Source organism: Homo sapiens, chromosome 3 (assembly GCF_000001405.40).
Source record: "Homo sapiens chromosome 3, GRCh38.p14 Primary Assembly".
In the NCBI taxonomy this organism is placed as follows: domain Eukaryota; kingdom Metazoa; phylum Chordata; class Mammalia; order Primates; family Hominidae; genus Homo; species Homo sapiens.
Window position 1 is genome coordinate 198,037,587 of NC_000003.12, and position 19,621 is coordinate 198,057,207.

A 19,621-nucleotide genomic window follows, 5' to 3' on the forward strand; every position below is an offset into this window, starting at 1 on the left:
CAAGATCACACCACTGCACTTCAGCCTGGGCAATAGAATGAGACTCTGTCTCAAAATAAATAAATAAAAGCTCATCTTTATTGTTTAAAATATTTAAAAGGGCAACTCATCCTAAAATAAGGTCAGGTTGGCCTCATCTCCCTACTGCTATAAAAATATTTCCATTATGAGAACTGTTTTAACCTATGAGGACACCTCATGGCTGAATTAAAATATACCTCTAGTGCCCAAAATCTGTAGAATCTTCTGCTGTTTCAAAATCAAGTCTGATTGATTGGTGATATGAATGTATGGGTAGATATTTAGAAATAGGGGACCATATGTTCTGGTCTGCCTGAGACCATCCATATGCCTGTTGTCATTATTAATAGTCCTCTCGCTTGCATCCTCACAGTCCGTCTGCCTATTGTCGTTATTGCTGGTCCTGTCCCTTGCCTCCTCACAGTCTGTCTGCCTGTTGTCGTTATTGATGCTCCTCTCCCTTGCCTCCTCACAGTCCGTCTGCCTGTTGTCATTATTGATGGTCCTCTCCCTTGCATCCTCACAGTCCGTCTGCCTGTTGTCATTATTAATAGTACTCACCCTTGCATTCTCAAAATGTACTAGTTTGTGTTGATAAATTATATGGTCACCCTACTTAGAAGGTACAAAGAAAGAATAAAAGAAGAAAGTTCTTCACCCCATCTCAGAATAACCAAGATCTTTATCTTTGCTGGGGTACTACCCCAAGGCAATTTTTTTTGGATACCATTTTTTAACCTTGACATAGTGGATACATCATTTCTTCCTCCATATATATTTTTCCTCCATTAAAAAAGAAACAAAAACTTTTTTATACCTGGGTTTTGCTCTTGATTTAGCTCTCAAGGTGGTCCTTGTTTACTTTTTAATAATCACTGCTCTTCATCTGTCAATATTTAATTGGTATGATTTATCCCAAAATTGTTTATAGAAAGTCAGTTTTTTGTTTTCAACTCTAGATCTTTGTTCCTGTTCCTCGAGCCTGGTGGTCACCCTCTGGCTTCTGCTAGGCAATCTGTTTCCTCTGCTGGCTGGATTTCTTCTGTGTATATGGCACTAGGAATGGAAAAGTGGATCTTCAAGATATTCTTTTATGTTATGTTCTTGTGAACAAAGCACAAAGTTTGAGTGAGTGCCAACCTATGCAGATGGTAGAAGTGGCATTCCTGGCTTTGGCTTGGAAGAATTGACGACCATCAGACCTTGAAGCAGAACTTCACAGCAGCCTGTCCTCATCAGCAACCCAACCACCTTCATCAGCAACCCAACCACCTTCATCAGCAACCCAACCACCTCGTCAGCAACCCAACCACCTCGTCAGCAACCCAACCACCTCGTCAGCAACCCAGCCACCTTCATCAGCAACCCAACCACCTCATCAGCAACCCAGCCACCTTCATCAGCAACCCAACCACCTCATCAGCAAACCAACCACTTTCATCTGCAACCCAACCACTTTCATCAGCAACTCAACACCTTCATCTGCAACCCAACCACCTTCATCAGCAAACCAACCACCTTCTTCAGCAACCCAACCACCTCATCTTGGAGAAGGAGAAGGAACTGCAAGCCACCAAGTCTTCATTTTTCAGGGTTTGTAATCTTCCCAAAGTTTTCCTTTGAAAATAGGATAATGGGTGGAATTTTCAGAGTGATTACATACCTCAACATTTTTATTAACATACAACAATGGGAAAGTTCATCATCCATATACTGCAGTCACTTAAACAACAGCCAATTATTGCAAGATTAGAATTGGAGATCTTGTCCTCAAAAGTATAAATTGTCCTTTGAGTTATAGAAAATAATGGAATTGGGATTTCTACATATCATTATTATACCTATTTTAAATTTAATGGCAGCCAGGCATGGTTCCAGCTACTTGGGAGGCTGAGGCAGGAGGATCGCTTGAGCCCAGGAGTTCAAGGCTGCAGTGAGCTATGATTGCACCACTGTATTCCAGCCTGCACGATAGAGTTAGACCCTGTATCTTAAAAAAAAAAAAATTAATGGCTGGTATATAGTAAACTTAATTCACTGTTCCCATTGTTCTAAAGAATTTTTTTAAATAATGTTTCATTAAATCTTATGATTTAACCGTGCTTGCCCTTTTTGCCAGCTATGTGGCAGTTTACGGCAGAACTGCTGTCAGTGTGCTGGTAGCCCTCTATTCATCCCTCCTCAGAGCCCAGCTTCCAGAACTGCTATCACTGTGCTGGTAGCCCTCTGTATTCATCCCTCTTCAGAGCTCAGCTTCTGGTTGTATTCTCCATGAGTTTAATAATGACATGAAAAAATGTGGAAGCCGAGAGAGTAAAATACTCTGCCCTGTAAAAACATGGAAGACATGCAAACAGAAAAAAAATAATTGTATTGTTTTAGATAATACTTAAGACAACTGTGAAACAACAAAAACACAACTATTCCTTTGTGACCGATGAAGATAAAAAGAAATTCTGGTAAAGACGGGTATGCAGTTTTTTAAAATGGGTTAAGAAATTGTTGCAGAAGAATTTCTAACATCTGAAAATGGTTTTATGTTTAAGAAGGATGGTCTGAATTGTGTACTAATAGCAAGGTATAAGTTTGGTGTAGAGCCTATCCAGTAGCGTCCACTGTACCACTTTTAAGTAAGACTCAGTCCACAGAAGCTGGAAGATTGCCTTCGCTTTAAATATCCTTTACCTTCTGCATTTGACACTCCTCCTGTTACTACATAGATTCCGGTCCCCAGAAGCAATTTTACACTGGTACTAGAGCTTACCAGCCCCATTTAGTAATTTTTAATGGCTAGATGAGGTTTAACAAGAATATGAAAAGAAAAAAGAAAAAATATATTCATGAATGATAGGCGATGCCCATTCTTTCTCTCAAGCTAATGAAGTCCTATGGCATTCTAACCACAACCCTCGGACAGACTCCTCCTATTCCTCCATGGCATTGTAACCACAACCCTCGGACAGACTCCTCCTATTCCTCCATGGCATTGTAACCACAACCCTCGGACAGACTCCTCCTACTCCTCCATGGCATTGTAACCACAACCCTCGGACAGACTCCTCCTACTCCTCCATGGCATTGTAACCACAACCCTCGGACAGACTCCTCCTACTCCTCCATGGCATTGTAACCACAACCCTCGGACAGACTCCTCCTATTCCTCCATGGCATTGTAACCACAACCCTCGGACAGACTCCTCCTATTCCTCCATGGCATTGTAACCACAACCCTCGGACAGACTCCTCCTATTCCTCCATGGCATTGTAACCACAACCCTCGGACAGACTCCTATTCCTCCATGGCATTGTAACCACAACCCTCGGACAGACTCCTCCTATTCCTCCATGGCATTGTAACCACAACCCTCGGACAGACTCCTTCTGTTCCTCCTTTCCTCGTCCTTCCCTGCTTTTCGTCCATTCAGCATATAGCTATTCAGTACTCCATTGAAGAAATTATGCTAAGTGAGCAAAGCAACATAATTACTAAGAATTAATTCTGATTATTTGGCACTAGAGCCAACAGCAACCCCAGCACAGAGGAAAGTCGCTTTTTTTTCAAATGCATAAATTTAAAGTATGTATTTGCATGCAGTTTTAAATGGGAGGTATTTGTCATTGTGAAAAGCTGGGAATCTCAAACATAGTCAACTTAACTAAAAAGAAGCTAATACAGGTTGAGCATTCCTAATCCAAAAATCCAGAATCCAAATTGCTCCAAAATCTGAAACTTTCTGAATGCTGACCTGATACTACAAGTAGAAAATTCCACATACAAGTACTTAACACAAACTTTGTTTCATGCACAAACTACTAAAAATATTGTATAAAATTACCTTCAGGCAGTGTGTGTAGTTATATATGAAACATGAATTTCATGTTTAGACTTGGGTCCATGCCCAAGATACCTCATTAGGTATCTGTAAATATCCGAAATCCAAAAAAAAGTCTGAAATCTGAAACACTTCTGGTCCCAAGCATTTCAGTAAGTGATGCTCAACCTGCGTAATGGTCTGCGGGCCAGTGCTCATTTTCTGCCTATGTTGTACATACTTTAAATTGTGTAAATTAAAAGTCAAAGCAAAGAGTCTATTTTTAAAGAAACTTACAATAATCTAAACATATACTTCTTATGATTATGAATCATCCTGCAAAGCTGAATGAAGAATTTTACCAAAAATACAATGAATTAATCATATATTTGAGAGTCACAGTGATAGGTTCGACTATATTTTGACTGTTGTGTAGTGGCACCGTTTAGGTAGTATTGTTTCTGAGCATGGTGCTTTTTATACTTGAAATATATTTTTGCTTTATTTTTTATTGATATAATTATATTTGCACTAATGGCTTTCTGAAGAAAATATTATAGATGACATTTTTTGTATATATATTTATTAAGCTTGGGAACCTGGTCGCCCAGTGTTTTCTCTGGACAAATGTGAAACTGGATAAAGTATGGATAAAGTCTTGAGTTCCTCAGGGTAACTGTGTTGATGTCTCCCGTCCTCTTCAGTAAGGCTTGAATATGATTTTACTCATCATTGATTCTGCATAGTGTACCCAGCAAGACTTAGAAGGACACTGAACCTGTCAGAGATTTTAAGAGGCACATTTTAGTCACTTTGAATATGGTAGTGGTGGGCGCGGTGACTGAAGCCTGTAATCTCAGCACTTCGGGAGGCCAAGGCAAGCAGATCACGAGATCAGGAGTTTGAGGTTACAGTGAGCTGATCGCACCACTGCACTGCAGCCTGGATGACAGAGTGAGACTTTCTTGGGAAAAAAAAAAATGACAGTGAAGCAGACTTTTAGAATCCGAGATGTCATTGCAGAATTATTGGTATAAAATTCAGCTGCAAAGTGAAGAAATTGAAATGGCCCACACGTTGATATCCTGTGGCAGGTTATACCCTTCATGTTAGCAAAGACGAAGCCACGTCGCTGTGTTAAGAGGGACAGGCTGGGCCGGCTGCAGCTGTAGTGGAAGTGAGGGACACAGGGAAGGAATGGGGAGCAGCAATTTGGGGACAGTAGACTGGAGTCACTTTCTGACTCAAAAAGGGTCAAGTACTTATTAAAAACTATCTTGGTTTTCTGTTCAGACTTAGGCTCATTTTGATCATTTTAAGGTCCCAGTTGTCAAAAATATCAAGTGAATTTGTCTCAGGTTTTCAGAAACAAAATTTACAGGAAGGAAGCAAAAGCCATGTCAGTAGCCTTGAGCTGACAGCTTTAAAGAAACTGGCAAACAGGTAGGTTGTCCTCATATAGATCCTTCCAGTATTCTGAAAAACATCCTTTTATTTCTTAAAACCAGTAACCCTTACATTTTTCCTATAGGATAGTTATTTTTGTTGAGATCAAATAGACATTCTATAAATGTTATAAATTATGCTTGCAGTTACTCAGCCTATCTAGGCTTAAGGTTTATCAATATTTGAAGTTGAAACATCATCTTATGAGGTTTAGTTTTAGGAAGATAAATAAATATATCAAAGTATTTCATAAAGTTGTATCAATGTTCCTTCTAACATTAGAAGACTTACTGACTGAGGCCATCTGTGAACGACTAGGTGATCTCAGAATCCTTCCAGCTCTAATACCCTCTGACTAACACTCACCCAGAATTGCTGTCTGTGCTGGCTGTGATCTGCCTCCAGGAGCATACGCCATCCTGCGTGCTGTGTCCATCACAGTGTCTGTGCTCGGTGCCTTACCACTGTCCGTGTCCTTGGACGCTGACTGGACAGAGAGGAGCCTGTCTCTCAGGGCACATGAGTCGTCGTGGCAGGAGGAGACGGGCCTCAGTCACAGTGTCACAGACCCTTGTCACAGTGGACACTAGTCATTCCTGCCATGTCCTTGCAGCCCAGGAGGACTAAAAAGATTTTAATGAAGTCTGTGTTACTCATTCTGAAGAAAAGAACTTACCTGAGAGGAGTAATATTTTTTTAATATATATTGGGTCAGGGACAGGGATGGAGTGGTTGTTTTATGTTTACATTTTTAATAAGTAAAATAGAAGATTTAAGAACTAATATTTATGGTATTGAACTTTAAGTGTGATATATTCCTTAGAAAAACACAACTTTAATAAAAATGGAAACTAATTTGCATCCTGTCTTTATTTAACACCATCAGTTTTTTAAAAACCTGGATGAGGGCTGGTCACTGTGGCTCATGCCTGTAATCCCAGCACTTTGGGAGGCCAAGGTGGAAGGATCGCTTGAGCCCAGGAATTTGAGACCAGCATCTCAAATTCAAATAGGGAGGCCGTGTCTCTACAAAAAATAAAAATAAAAAATTAGTCAGGTGTGGTAGAGCACACCTGTAGTCCCAGCCACTCGGGAGGCTGAGATGGGAGGATCACTTGAGCCGGGGAGTTAGAGGCTGCAGTGAGCCAAGATCACACCACTGCATTCCAGCGTGGATGACAGAGCAAGATCCTGTCTCTAAAACAGTCATGGACTCTCTTTGGGGAAGACAAGGTGTTTATTACGAAATATAATCAGTTTCTACTTAAAGGTGAGTAAAATTGTCCTACTTAAAGAGTGGAGACAGGTCTAGTTAAGCAGGAAAGAGCAGACTAAAGCAATTCATAGACAATTTGGTCTATGCTGTGGGCCAGAAGGTTCGTTGCATGACCACCCTGGCACATTCAAGCACCACACTTGACACAGTGGCATCAAATAGGCTGTGGCTGTAGTCCTGGAGTGTGGTTTCTTCCCATAACCTGCATGTAGCACAAGAGAATGTCCCAGGAGGTCCCTTCCTCATGTGCATTTAGAGCCGTTCTGCCTGTGACTTGGAGCCAAGTGCTTTGTGAAATTGATCCAGTATCGTGTGCGTGACTTAATTGCTGGACTGAGATCTTTGTGGGGATTTTCTGATATGTTGTGTTTTTAAAGTTTTACAGATTGCATATAAGTAGCTAAAACTATATACAATAAATTACCTCAGATAAATACAATATTATTTGCCCAGCATACTGAAGATAAAGCTATATCTCATATATTACTTTGTTTACACTACCTTTGGATATGTTCATAGAATATACTATTTTAGGGGGCATTATTACATAAGTCTTTTGTTCACAACCTCACCAGTATATATGCAGAAATGGAGGAGTTTATTTAAATCACCTTTGTTGGGATCCCATTAGAAGTTCATTTTTTTAAATGTTTAAAATGAATTAGGGAGATGGGTCCAAATACGTGACCCAAATATTTGTCCAAATATTCTGATAGTCGATGCTTTTTCCATTTTATATTATAGAAATATTTTAATGCCTATAGATGTTATGTCTTAGATACAAAATCATTTTAATTCTCAGTGCCACTCAATTTTTTCAATTTCAGTAGAGACATTAGCGACTCAACAACTTTCTGACATTGCCTTATTCGGAAATACTCCAATCACAGTATCTGAACATCTGGCTTTCCCCCACATCAGGTGTCTCCTAGTGACATTTCAGGAGTGTACAGGCAGATGAGAAGAGGGTTGCCATGTGTTCACACTCATGAGTGTTCATAAGTGGAGATTTGGATGTATTTGGTTGAAGATAGAATGTAAGTGAGGTTGCCACAAAGAACACAAAGAATAGAGTAATTGCTTCTTCAGCACAGCTTGCCTGCTGTATGAGTCTGTTTTCATGCTGCTGATAAAGACACCCAAGACTGGGCAGTTTACAAGAGCAAGCGGTTTAATGGACTTTACATGTCTACATGGCTGGGGAGGCCTCACCGTCATGGCAGGAGGTGAAAGGCACGTTTCACAGGGAAGCAGACAAGAGCAGAGAGCTTGTGTAGGGAAACTCCCCATTTTAAACCCATCGGATCTCATGAGACTTATTCACTATCACAAGAACAGCACAGGAAACACCTGCCCCCCCCCAATTCAATTGCCCCCCACTGGGTCCCTCCTGCAAACATGGGAATTCAAGATGAGATTTGGGTGGAGATGAAACCGCCTTCTCAAAATGATGACTGAGCCAGTGAAAGAGATCTAACTTAGCCGACTCCATCTTGCGTCTAACCTCCAAGCTGTCCTTGTTCATTCCTGGGCGAAGGCTGAACTAACTTGGGGGGAAACTTAGTTTATAGTCTCAGGTTCCATGGCCCTGATAGGACTGAACCAGAAGGATCCAGGGAAGGACAAACCCTGGGGCTGAGGCCCTATGACCCAATGGCCATTGGTGGCCTAGCCTTATGGCCCCAAGACACCCTGTCCTCAGGCCACAGACACCATGGGCTTTGGTCAGGTCCCAACTTCCCAGTAGTGTCCTGACACTAGCGGGTGCTGACTGCTGAGCCACAACCACAGTTCTGGGTTTTGGGTTTGGTAAAACCACCTCAGGGACAGAGTTCTGGAGTTGGGTTTGGCAGAAACCATGGCACCTCCCAGGGATGGTGTGTCACTCCTGCTTGCCACCAAATGTGCACATAGGCTGTCCCCCTTGTCCAGCCCATCCTGCTGGACAGGATGGAGGAAGTCAGGGAACATACACGGTGGACAGCTGGGGTGCAGGGAGAGGCAGGTGCATGCTGGGAGGTCAGACCCTGTGAGGGCTGTGGGGGCATCAGGTGGAGTGGACTCAGGTGCACCCTCAGTGCACTGGGCAGGTCTTAGGCCAGGCTCCGTGGACCCCAGCTGTGTGATGTGGTCACTCCCTGAGGGACTGCCGTCAGGCCCCAGTCACCCACCCTGGGCAGCACCGTCCCATCTCAGGGCTGGGCTTTCTGAGTCCTGAGACAGAACAGTACTGCCCAGGCCTGACAGACCGGGGGGCCCTGCCAAGTCCTCCATCCCTAGACCAGCCTCGCACACAGCACGGACAGTCTCTCACCTTCAACTTCAGGGCACTGACTGATACTTCTCATTCTAAGGCAACCAAGGCAGAGCTGAGGACCTGCGCCAGGCTAGGAGCCAGTCCCCTCCCTAAGTGGGCCTGATGGAAGCACCATCCTTGTCCCAATCCACTACAAGTTTCAGCCCAGGAGACACACAGGGAAGGGAGGATGGGGTCTCCCTGCTGGCTGTCACTGGAAAAGCAGGACCTGGGAGCAGAGGGAGCTCAGGGCTGGCAGGGGATGCTCAGGCCCATGGAGAGCTTGGGCTGCATCCTGGGGCTGCCCCTCCTGGGCTAGAGGCTGTGCCCTCTGCAGGATCTGAGAAAGTCCAGTCCTGAGATGGGACAGTGCTGCCCAGGGTGGGTGGCTGGGGCCTGACAGCAGTCCCCCAGGGAACGATCACATCACCCGGCCTGGGTCTAGGGAACCTGGGCTGAGACCTGCCCAGTGCACTGAGGGTTCACCTGGAGCCCACCCCACCTGATGCCCCCACAGCCCTCTCAGGGTCTGACTTCCCAGCATGCACCTGCCTCTCCCTGCACCCCAACTGCCCACGTGCCTATTCCCTGGCTTCCTCCATCCTGTGCAGCACATAGACTGTGACCGTCTCTCCAGCCACTCTGGCCTTTCCTTTAACTTTGTCCTGTCAGGATCTCTGAGCAAGATCCTCCAGGTCCATCCAAACACCTGCTTTGTCCACTTTTGACTGGGCTGTTGGGTGCCACTGGGCCGTCCCAGCTGTCCACAGGGCCCTCAATAACATGCATTGCACCTGTGATCTCCCAGCAGCGCTCATCACCCCCCAATGACCAAGTCCCTGCTGGCCAGACCCCACACACCAGGTCCTCCCCGACCAAACCCTCACCGATTAGACCTCCATCAGGAGGTCCCACTAACCAGGCCTCCGCTGCCAGGCCCACAGTGACCAGGACTTCACTGACCAGGACCTTACTGACAAGGCCTCACTGACCAGGTTCCACTGATCATGACCCCATTGCCTGGCCCCACAGATGAGGCCCCACTGACCAGGCCTCCAGGGAACAGGCTGCCACTGACCAGGCCCCTGCTAACCAGGACTGAGGTGACCAGATGCCCCTGACCACGACCCTAGTGAGTAGACCCCACTGAACAGGCACCCGCTGCTGAGATCCCTGCTGACCAGGTCACCCCACAGACCAGTGCTACAAAAGCCACAACTGACCCAGTCTTCTCTGACCAGGCCCCCGTTGATTCGGTTCCACTGACCAGGCTGCCCTGACCAGGACCCCACTGACAAGGGCCTCGCTGATGAGGACACGCCCACCAGGCCATGCTGACTAGGTCCCTTGTGGTCAGGCCTCCACTGAATAGCACCCCTTGACCTGGTCACCAGTGCCCCAGCTCATGCTGACCAGGCCACCACTAAGCCCCAGTTGACCACTAAGCTCCACTGACCAAGCCCCACAGCCCAAGTTTGCACTGACCAGACACCAAACAACTGGCTGCCACTAGGTCTCCACTCACTAAGACCCCACTACTAGATCCCCCTAATGAGACCCTCTCTAAACAGACCCCTGCTGACCATGCCCCCATTAAACAGGCCTCGCTGACTAGGTCAGTCCCAACTGACTGGGTCCACTGACCAGGCCCACGCTGATCAGGCCCCTCCTAACCATACCAGAAGGCCAAGCGGCAATGAGACATTTCATATGGCAGGAGTAGGAGCAAGACAGAGAGAGGAAAGAAGAGCCACATCTTGTTATAAGACCAGATCTCAGGATAACTCACTATCAGGAGATCAGCATCAAGAAGATTAACCATTGGTGAAGGATCCGCCACCCACACCACCGCCCACTGTTTCCAGGCAGAAGCCTCCTGCAGAGGCAGAACCTCTTGGAAAACCTCTGCTAGGGCAGTGCAGAAGGAAACTATGGGCTTGGAGCCCCCACACAGGAGGCCACCATCCTCCAGAGCCCAGATTCATAGACAAACCAACGGCTCACACCCTCAGTATGGAAAAGCTACAGGCACTCCACACCAACCCAGCCCATGAGAGCAGCCATGGGGGCTAAAGCCTGCAAAGCCACAGGTGCACTGCCCTAGTAGAGGTTTCCCATGAGCCTCTGCCTCTGCAGCAGGTTACCCCCCTTCCTGCTACCCCTACCCTCTCACCACCCTACTGCCAACATACTCCTCCCTACCCTACCCACTCCTTTTTCTTCCACCCCAACACCCTCCTGTCATGATTAAATCACCTCCCACCAGGCCCCACCTCCAACATTCAGGATTACAATTCACTTGAGTTTTTCTAGGGAAACACAGACAAACCATATTATTCAAACCCTGAGCCCACTGAATCTCATGTCCTTCTCACAGAGCAAAATACAATCAAGCCTTTACAAAAGTTCCCAAAAGTCTTCAATCATTCCAGCATTAATGCAAATGTAACAATTCCACATCTCATCTGAGACAAGGCTACAGTCCCTTTGCCTATGAGTCCCTGAATGTAAAAGGGAGTTCTTTTCTTTCAAGGTACGGTGATGGTAAAGGCATTGGGTAAGCTTTCTCAATCCAAAGGGAAGAAATTTCCTGGGAAAATAACACAAATGGGACCACAGGCCCAATGCAAGTCCAAACCCAGAAGCCCAGTATCCATTCAATCTCACAGCTCCAAAATCATGAAGATAACTCACTATCACAAGGACAGCAATAAGGAGATGGTGTTTAATCATTTGTGAAGGGTCCACCCCCTCGCCACTTTTCACCCCTCACCCCCACCATAGTCCCCCATTTTCCCTATGCCCCCACCTTCCAACCCCCACTCCCCACCATGATTAAATCACCTTCCACCATGCCCCACCTTTAACAATCCCGACTACAATTCCACATGAGTTTTGGCAGGGACACAGAGCTAAATTTTATTATTCTGTCCCTGACTCCTAAAATCTCATGTCCTTCTCACATTGCAAAATACAATGATGCCTTCCCTACAGTCCCCTAAAGTCTTACATCGTTCCAGCATTTATACAAATGTCCAAAGCTTAAAGTGTCATCTGACACAAGGCTACAGTCCCTTAGGCCCATGAGCCTCTGAAATATAAAGCAAGTTAACTACTTCCAAAGCACAGTACTTGCACAGGCAATGGGTAAGCATTACCAGCCAAAAGGGAGGATTTTGCCAGAAAGAACAAAGCACAGATAGGACTTACAGTCTCCAAACCCAGAAGGCCAGTCATTCAATCCTAAAGCTCCAAAATCACCCTTTTTGAAACCTTGTCCCACATCCAGGGCACAAGGGTGTGAGGGCTGGGCTCCCAAGGCCTTGGGCAGCTCTGCACCTGTGGCTTTGCAGAGTTTACACCCCACGGCTGCCCTCATGGGCTGGGCTGGCATTGAGTGCCTGTAGCTTTTCCCCACTGATGGTACAAGCTGTTGGGAGGGGGGTGTTCTATAAATCTGGGGTCTGCATGATGGTAGCCTCCAGTGTGGGGGCTCCAACCCCATATTTTCCTTTGGCACTGCTCTAGTAGAGGTTTCTTATGAGGCTCTGCCTTTTGGGGATGCTTTTGCCTGGACACCCAGGCATTTCCATACATCTTCCAAAATCTATACAGAGGCTCCCAAGCCTCTAGTCTCATGCTCTGTCCACCTAGTGGCTTAACACTATGAGGAAGTTACCAAGGCTTCTAGCTCACATCCTCTGAAGCAGTGACACAGGCTGTATCTGTGCATCTTTCAGCCATGGCTGGAGCTGCAGCTGGAGCTGCAGGGATGCAGGCAGCAGTGTCCTGAGGCTGCACATAGAGGGAGATCATGGGACTGGCCCAGGAAACCATACTTCTCTCCTAGGCCCCAGGGCCTGTGACAGCAAGGGCTGCTGTAAATGTCTCTGAAATGCCTTCAAGGCCTTTTTCCTATTGTCTTGGCTACTAGCACTGGACTCCTTTTTATGCAAATTTCTGAACCCTTCCAGAATTTTTCCCCTGAAAATCAGCTTTTCTTTTTGACCAATTGGCCAGGCTGCAAATTTTCCAAACTTTTGAGTTTGCTTCTCATTTAATATAAGAGTTGGGACTCATTTAATATAAGTCCGAATCAGAGGTCACTGCCTCAGTCACACATAAAAGCACAGGCTGTTTGATGCAGACAGGACACATCTTGAGCTTTGCTGCCTAGAAGTTCATTCCACCAGACATGCACTAAGTCATCACCCTCAAGTTCAAAGTTTCACAGTGCGGACGGCAAGTCATCCAGGTGCCGAGGCAAGAGACTGAGGGCACGAGCTGTTCCAGTATAATAAAATATATAAAACAACAAGAGTTATACTAGATCTAGATCATAGACATGATTATCTATGAATATCATTCATCATTAGTTTGTAGCAATGACTCTTTATTCCAATATTATAATAATCCTCGCTCTATAATCATAACCTAGGAAAAGCCAGGCCATACAGAGACAGGAGCTGAGGGCACATAGTGAGAAGTGACCGAAGACGAGTGCGAGCTTTTCTGTCATGCCCGGACAGGGCCACCAGAGGGCTCCTTGGTCTAGCGGTGACGCCAGCGTCTGGGAAGACGCCCGTTGCCAAGCGGACTGTGGTCTAGCAGTAGCATCAGTGTCAAGGAAAAACACCCACTACTTAGCAGACCAGGAAAGGGAGTCTCCCTTTCCCCTGGGGAGTTTAGAGAAGATTCTACTCCTCCACTTCTTGTGGAGGGCCTGACTGATGTCAGGCCCACCCGCAGTTATCCGGAGGCCTAACCGTCTCCCTGTGATGCTATGCTTCAGTGGTCACGCTCCTAGTCCGCTTTCATTTTCCACCCTGTACACCTAGCTCTGCCTTTTAGATAACAGTAGCAAAATTAGTGAAAGTACTAAAAGTCTCTAATACGCAGAAATAATGGTGTAAGCTGTCTCTCTCTCTCCCCCCTCTCTCTGCCTTGGCTGCCAGGCAGGGAAGGGCCCCCTGTCCAGTGGACACATGACCCACGTGACCTTACCTATCATTGGAGATGGCTCACACTCATTATCCTGCCCCTTTTGCTTTGTATCCCATAAATAACAGTGCAGCCAGGCATTCAGGGCCACTACCAGTCTCCGCATCTTGGTGGTAGTGGTCCCCTGGACCCAGCTGTCTTTTCTTTTATCTCTTTGTCTTGTGTCTTCATTTCTACACTTTCTTGTCTCCACATATGGGAGAAAACCCACCGACCCTGTAGGCTGGAGCCTATATCACAGATCTCCAGGGCAGGGTCGCCGTGAAGCCATGTTCTCTGCTACAGCAAATCAAAAGTACCCTTGGCTTCTGTTCCTAGTAAGTTCCTCATTTTCATCTGAGACCTTCTAAGTCTGGCCTTTACTGTCCATTTTCCTGTCAGGCTTTTGATCACGAGTATTTAACAATTCTTTACAAAGATCCAAACTTTCCCTCATCTTCCTGTCTTCAAAGCCCTCCAAACTCTCCTGACCTCTGTTTGCTAGCCCCTTCTGAACTTGCTTCTGCATTATCAGCTATCTTTGTTGCAGCCTGGCAATGTGGTAAAGGAAGACAAGTCCATTTTGAGGGGAAAAATTCAAGAAGGCTTCAGATACTTGAATGAAAAGAAGCTGAGTGCTGATTGTCAAGACAACAGGGAAAAGGCCTTGAAGACATCTGATAGCTCCACTTTGCAGTACTAATATTCTCTATGATCATAAAGAAAAGAGCTTTAATCGGCCCATGATTCTGCAGGACTCAGGAAGCCACCCAATCATACCAGAATATCAAGGGGCAATGAGACGAAGGAGGTGGCACACCCTATTATACAACCAGATCTCCTGAGAAAAAGGAAACAGGCAGTTTTAGAAAAAAAGGAAAGGGACAGAGATATGTGTTGACGTAAAGACTTTGAAGAAGAGATCTAGAGATCTTTCCTGACAAAATGTCAACAAAATGAAAGATATGCAGAACCATGTAGAGAAAGGCAATGACAGAAAAATGTTCATTAGAATCAGAAAACCAACTTAAGTGCTCAGTAAATAAATAGAAAAGTAGCTGTGTTCAGGGCTTCAAAGACACATTCCATTTAAAAAAAAACTGTGATCAAAACATGAATGCTCATTTTACTCTTTTTAAGTTATGCATATATTTATATATATATAAAATTTATTTCTGTAAGACAGAAGTTTAATAGCATGTATACTTCATGTATACAACAGAAGGGCCCATGTAAAATGAGTAAATTTCCATGATATGTTTTATATTTAAAAGAAAAAGAGGCAGAAACAAAATACAAGCTACATATCAAGATAAATTTTGATGTTAAAGAATGACACGAATAGGTCTCCTTTAAAGAATTTGAATGCAGCAGAGAAGGATACTGCAAAAGAAAGTTGACCAAAGACAGCAAAAATATCTTCAGAAATTATAATTGAAACTAGATAATGAAGAGTGCAGTTGACATTACATGTTCAAGGCTTTCTCATTATTGTTTTCAAAATCATTAAAGAATAAATGGCTGGGTGCAGTGGCTCACACCAACTTTTTGAGACCCAGGTGGGCAGATCACAAGGTCAGGAGTTCGAGACCAGCCTGACCAACATGGTGAAACTCCGTCTCTACTAAAAATACAAAAATTAGCCAGGTGTGGTGGTGCATGCCTGTAATCCCAGCTACTCAGGAGGCTGAGGCCAGAGAAATGCTTGAACCTGGGAGGTGGAGGTCGCAGTGAGCAGAGAATGCACCATTGCACTCCAGCCTGGATGACAGACTCAGACTCTGTCTCCAAAAAAAAAAAAAAAAAAAAAGAAGTGTAGCATTTTGGCATTCAAAAAAATTTCAGATTGTGTTGTTTCTTTTTTTATATGTTTTTAATATAAATTTTTTCATCCCAACCTTGCCCCAGCAGCTCAGCTGACTCCCGCCCCCATGACGCACATGCCTATAATGTTGTGAGTTTCCAAAATACATTTTAAAATAGATTTCGTTTAATTATGAAAATGCAGACATAAAATGAATTTGTATCTAGGTTTTAATCAAGTAATATTAGAGTTAAGTCAATTAATAAATGATTAAAATGTTCTACAATATGAAAACCATACCCAGATGCCTCTTCCTCTAATTCATGATTTTTCTTCCTTATTTGATCCACATTATACTCCAGTGATGATATTAACTCAAAAAAAGTTTTCTTAATTCTTCATTTTCTTCTTCAGGCTTGAAAAAGAAAGTGTTGCAATAAACATGCACACCTATGTTTATTGCAACACTTTCTTTTTCAAGCCTGAAGAAGAAAATGAAGAATTAAGAAAACTTTTTGAGTTAATATCTTATTCACAGTAGCAAAGACTTGGAACCAACCCAAATGTCCAACAATGACAGACTGGATTAAGAAAATGTGGCACATATACACCATGGAATACTATGTAGCCATAAAAAGTGATGAGTTCATGTCCTTTGTAGGGACATGGATGAAGCTGGAAACCATCATCTCAGCAAACTATTGCAAGAACAAAAAACCAAACACCACATGTTCTCACTCATAGGTGGGAATTGAACAATGAGAATACATGGACACAGGAAGGGGAACATCACACTCTGGGGACTGTTGTGGGGTGGGGGAGGGGGGAGGGATAGCATTAGGAGATATACCTAATGCTAAATGATGAGTTAATGGGTACAGCACACCAACATGGCACATGTATACATATGTAACAAACCTGCACGTTGTGCACATGTACCCTAAAACTTAAAGTATAATAACAAAAAAATTTAAAAAAGGCTTTTATTTGGCAATAGTTTTAGATTATTCTAGGTTGCAGATAGTACAGAGAGTTCTTGTATAACCCTCACCTGGTTTCCTCTAATGTTAACATTTTACATAACAATGGTACATTTGTTGAAATTAACATTGGTACATTACTATTAACTAAACTCCAGACTTTATTCTTAAAAAAAAAAAAAAAGAAAAAAAGAAAGTGTTTAAAATTATTTTTGTAAAATCTAGAGACCCTGTTCTATCTTAAAAATGTTATTTCTCATAAGTTGATGAATAATATGTATTTAGGCAGGTGTATAAAGCACATTTTATAAACCTGACGCCAATAAGGACAGATTTCAAAAATAGACACTTTTCTTAAAACAGCTAAAAATGATTTATACTTTCATCATTATCTTTTCTGAAATTTAAGCTGCCAAAAATGAGGGTTAAAAGTGGGGGTTTTTACACATAAAATACTAAGGGTTAGTAAAAAAAAAAAAAAGAGTAGTTATATTTACATTTTAGTTTTTAAAGATGCTTTAGAAACATTGTCATTAATAGTTAAAGATATTCCAAGTTTTGTTAAATTACATCTTACTAAGATGATTTTTAGAAAACTCTTATCTAGTTCCCATTACATTTTTGATCCTCATCTGTCTTCAGGCTGATCTAAATATTCTCTGTTAGTATTCACCCATAGATTTCAGTTTTTTCCCTTTCTCTTAATCATTTCTCTTTAAATAAAGATTTTTTCTATAATAAAAACATAACTTTTGTCTACTTTTTGTAGATTTTCTATTATCCTGCTTCTCCCCTTCCATTGGACTCTATGACACATGGTCTCATCCAGAGATCTATTTTTCATCACTTATTGTGTTTTTTATACCGCAATCTGATTTTTAAATAATTCCAATAAAAAAGTGCAAGGGTCATGAAGGACTTTATCCTGCTTTACTCAGCAGCAACTGCGAGTAGACCAAATGCTCCCTCTGCTCCTCTGAACCCACTTTATTTCTAAATGCAGCAACCTCTGATGTTCAGTCCTATTCCTTTCTATTCCTGTTTTTTTGTTTGTTTTTTGTTTTTTTGTTTTTGTTTTTTTTTTGAGACGGAGTCTTGCACTGTTGTCCAGGCTGGAGTGCAGTGGCGTGATCTCCGCTCACTGCAACCTCTGCCTCCCAGGTTCAAGCGATTCTCCTGCCTCGGCCTCCCACGTAGCTGGGATTACAGGTGCCCACCACCATGCCTGGCTAATTTTTTGTATTTTTAGTAGAGACGGGGTTTCACCATGTTGGCCAGGTTGGTCTTGAACTCCTGACCTCATGATCTGCCCACCTCGGCCTCCCAAAGTGCTGGGATTACAGGCATGAGCCATCACGCCCAGCCACTATTCCTCTTTTAAATTCTCTCAGGACTCCTAAAATCTCAAAATTTTGACCCAGATTCCCTAATCTACATTTCCAGCTCTGACCTTCTTCTTGAGGCCTCTTCTTTCTAGTACACATATTATAGACAATATTCTCAACCACACACTCAGACATTGCCACTTGGTGCAGGTTACTTTTGTAGATAGTGAATCATGTCTATTTTATGTTGATTCTTATTGATGTTACTGTGCATATAGTGTTATTTTCTAATCTCGAAGGGGGATCGTCTCACCCTTAGGATATTGACCAGCATACTTTGTCCTTTTTTTTTCTTTTCTTTTTTTTGAGATGGAATCACACTCTGTCATCCAGGCTGGAGTGCAGTGGCAACATCTTAGCTCACTACAACTTCCACCTCTTGGGTTCAAGTAATTCTCCTGCCTCAGCCTCCCAAGTAGCTGGGACAGAGGTGCACACCACCATTCCTGGCTAATTTTTATATTTTTAGTAGAGACAGGGTTTCACCATATTGGCCAGGATGATCTCGATCTCTTGACCTCATAATAATGGCAATAAGGAAATTATCTAAAAATACTATTTAACAGGAAAAAAGCCAATTTTCTGTGAGGAATGATGTATACTTCTCAACTTTCCCAAGAGAAAATATTGTAAAACGTATGCAATTATTTTTCAAAATGGCAGAATAAAAGCCAGAGTTTAAGAAATAAGTACATTATAAAGGTAATAAAATGGTAATAATTAATTATAATAAAAATAAAAAATCAAGCTGTCCACTGAAATTAGTATCCTAAAACAGTTTATATTATTCAACCAGCTACAGATTAACTGTCGACATGTTAAATTCCATACATATTTGACTTCCTACTTGAAATATAATTTCTTCTCTGAAGCCCATGTCTCATCCAAATTAATATGACAATGTGATGTACCTTCCAGTGGAGACTCTGACATAGGAAATTTTTTAAGATGACTGGCCAGTTGTTCTTGAGGTTACCTTACAGTCTCCTGATAAAATATTTTTGTTATTAATTTTATAAATTGCCTTATTATTAAATTATGTTAATATTTAACTCTAACATGCATACTTTGAAAATTATTACCACACACATAGATTAGCTTTCTTTTTCTCATATGTATACATTCTCCTTTATTACTGAATTCAGTGAGGAACATAGAAGGTGTTGTCTTCGGCCGGGCGCGGTGGCTCACGCCTGTAATCCCAGCACTTTGGGAGGCCGAGGCGGGCGGATCACGAGGTCAGGAGATCGAGACCATCCCGGCTAAAACGGTGAAACCCCGTCTCTACTAAAAATACAAAAAAATTAGCCGGGCATGGTGGCGGGCGCCTGTAGTTCCAGCTACTCGGGAGGCTGAGGCAGGAGAACGGCGGGAACCCGGGAGGCGGAGCTTGCAGTGAGCCGAGATCGCGCCACTGCACTCCAGCCTGGGCGACAGAGCGAGACTCCGTCTCAAAAAAAAAAAAAAAAAAAAAGAAGGTGTTGTCTTCCTGCCAAATTGGTATTCTCTTACATGACAGATTGATTCAGCCCACTATTCATTCATCTCAGACCCTCAACTCAACCTGAGTTCCTCACACATTCAGTCACCTGTTCAAATCCTTCCAACAGATTCCTATCTC

The 19,621-nt window shown here is 43.4% G+C and overlaps 1 protein-coding gene and 1 long non-coding RNA gene across 8 annotated transcripts in view, besides 1 other annotated feature; one reads left to right on the forward strand and one right to left on the reverse strand.

The window, feature by feature from the left end:
* The window catches only part of LMLN (leishmanolysin like peptidase), an 83,504-nt gene extending 77,370 nt beyond the window's left edge, over positions 1–6,134 (forward strand). For 6 of the 7 annotated variants that reach the window (NR_026786.2, NR_026787.2, NM_001136049.3 and 3 more), the window contains one exon: positions 981–6,134. Coding sequence is in view for 4 of the 7 variants with exons in the window: in NM_001136049.3 (NP_001129521.3) it covers positions 981–1,081 (101 nt within the window). In the remaining 3 variants the exon portion in view is untranslated. The remainder of the gene's footprint in view (positions 1–980) is intronic. The other variant, XR_007095764.1, reaches the window with a different exon arrangement.
* LMLN-AS1 (LMLN antisense RNA 1) lies at positions 735–1,881 on the reverse strand. Its single transcript, NR_046669.1, has 4 exons — positions 1,863–1,881; positions 1,561–1,638; positions 1,162–1,272; positions 735–1,077 (listed from the first exon to the last, which is right to left on the reverse strand). It is a non-coding gene; the product is annotated as an LMLN antisense RNA 1 (long non-coding RNA).
* Positions 13,326–13,512: a silencer, noted in NCBI's record as "fragment chr3:197777783-197777969 (GRCh37/hg19 assembly coordinates)". NCBI's record gives its function as "represses an EF-1alpha promoter that drives an FKBP-Casp9 reporter gene in an ReSE screen in HepG2 liver carcinoma cells {active_cell/tissue: HepG2}" and the evidence as "EXISTENCE:reporter gene assay evidence [ECO:0000049][PMID:32094911]".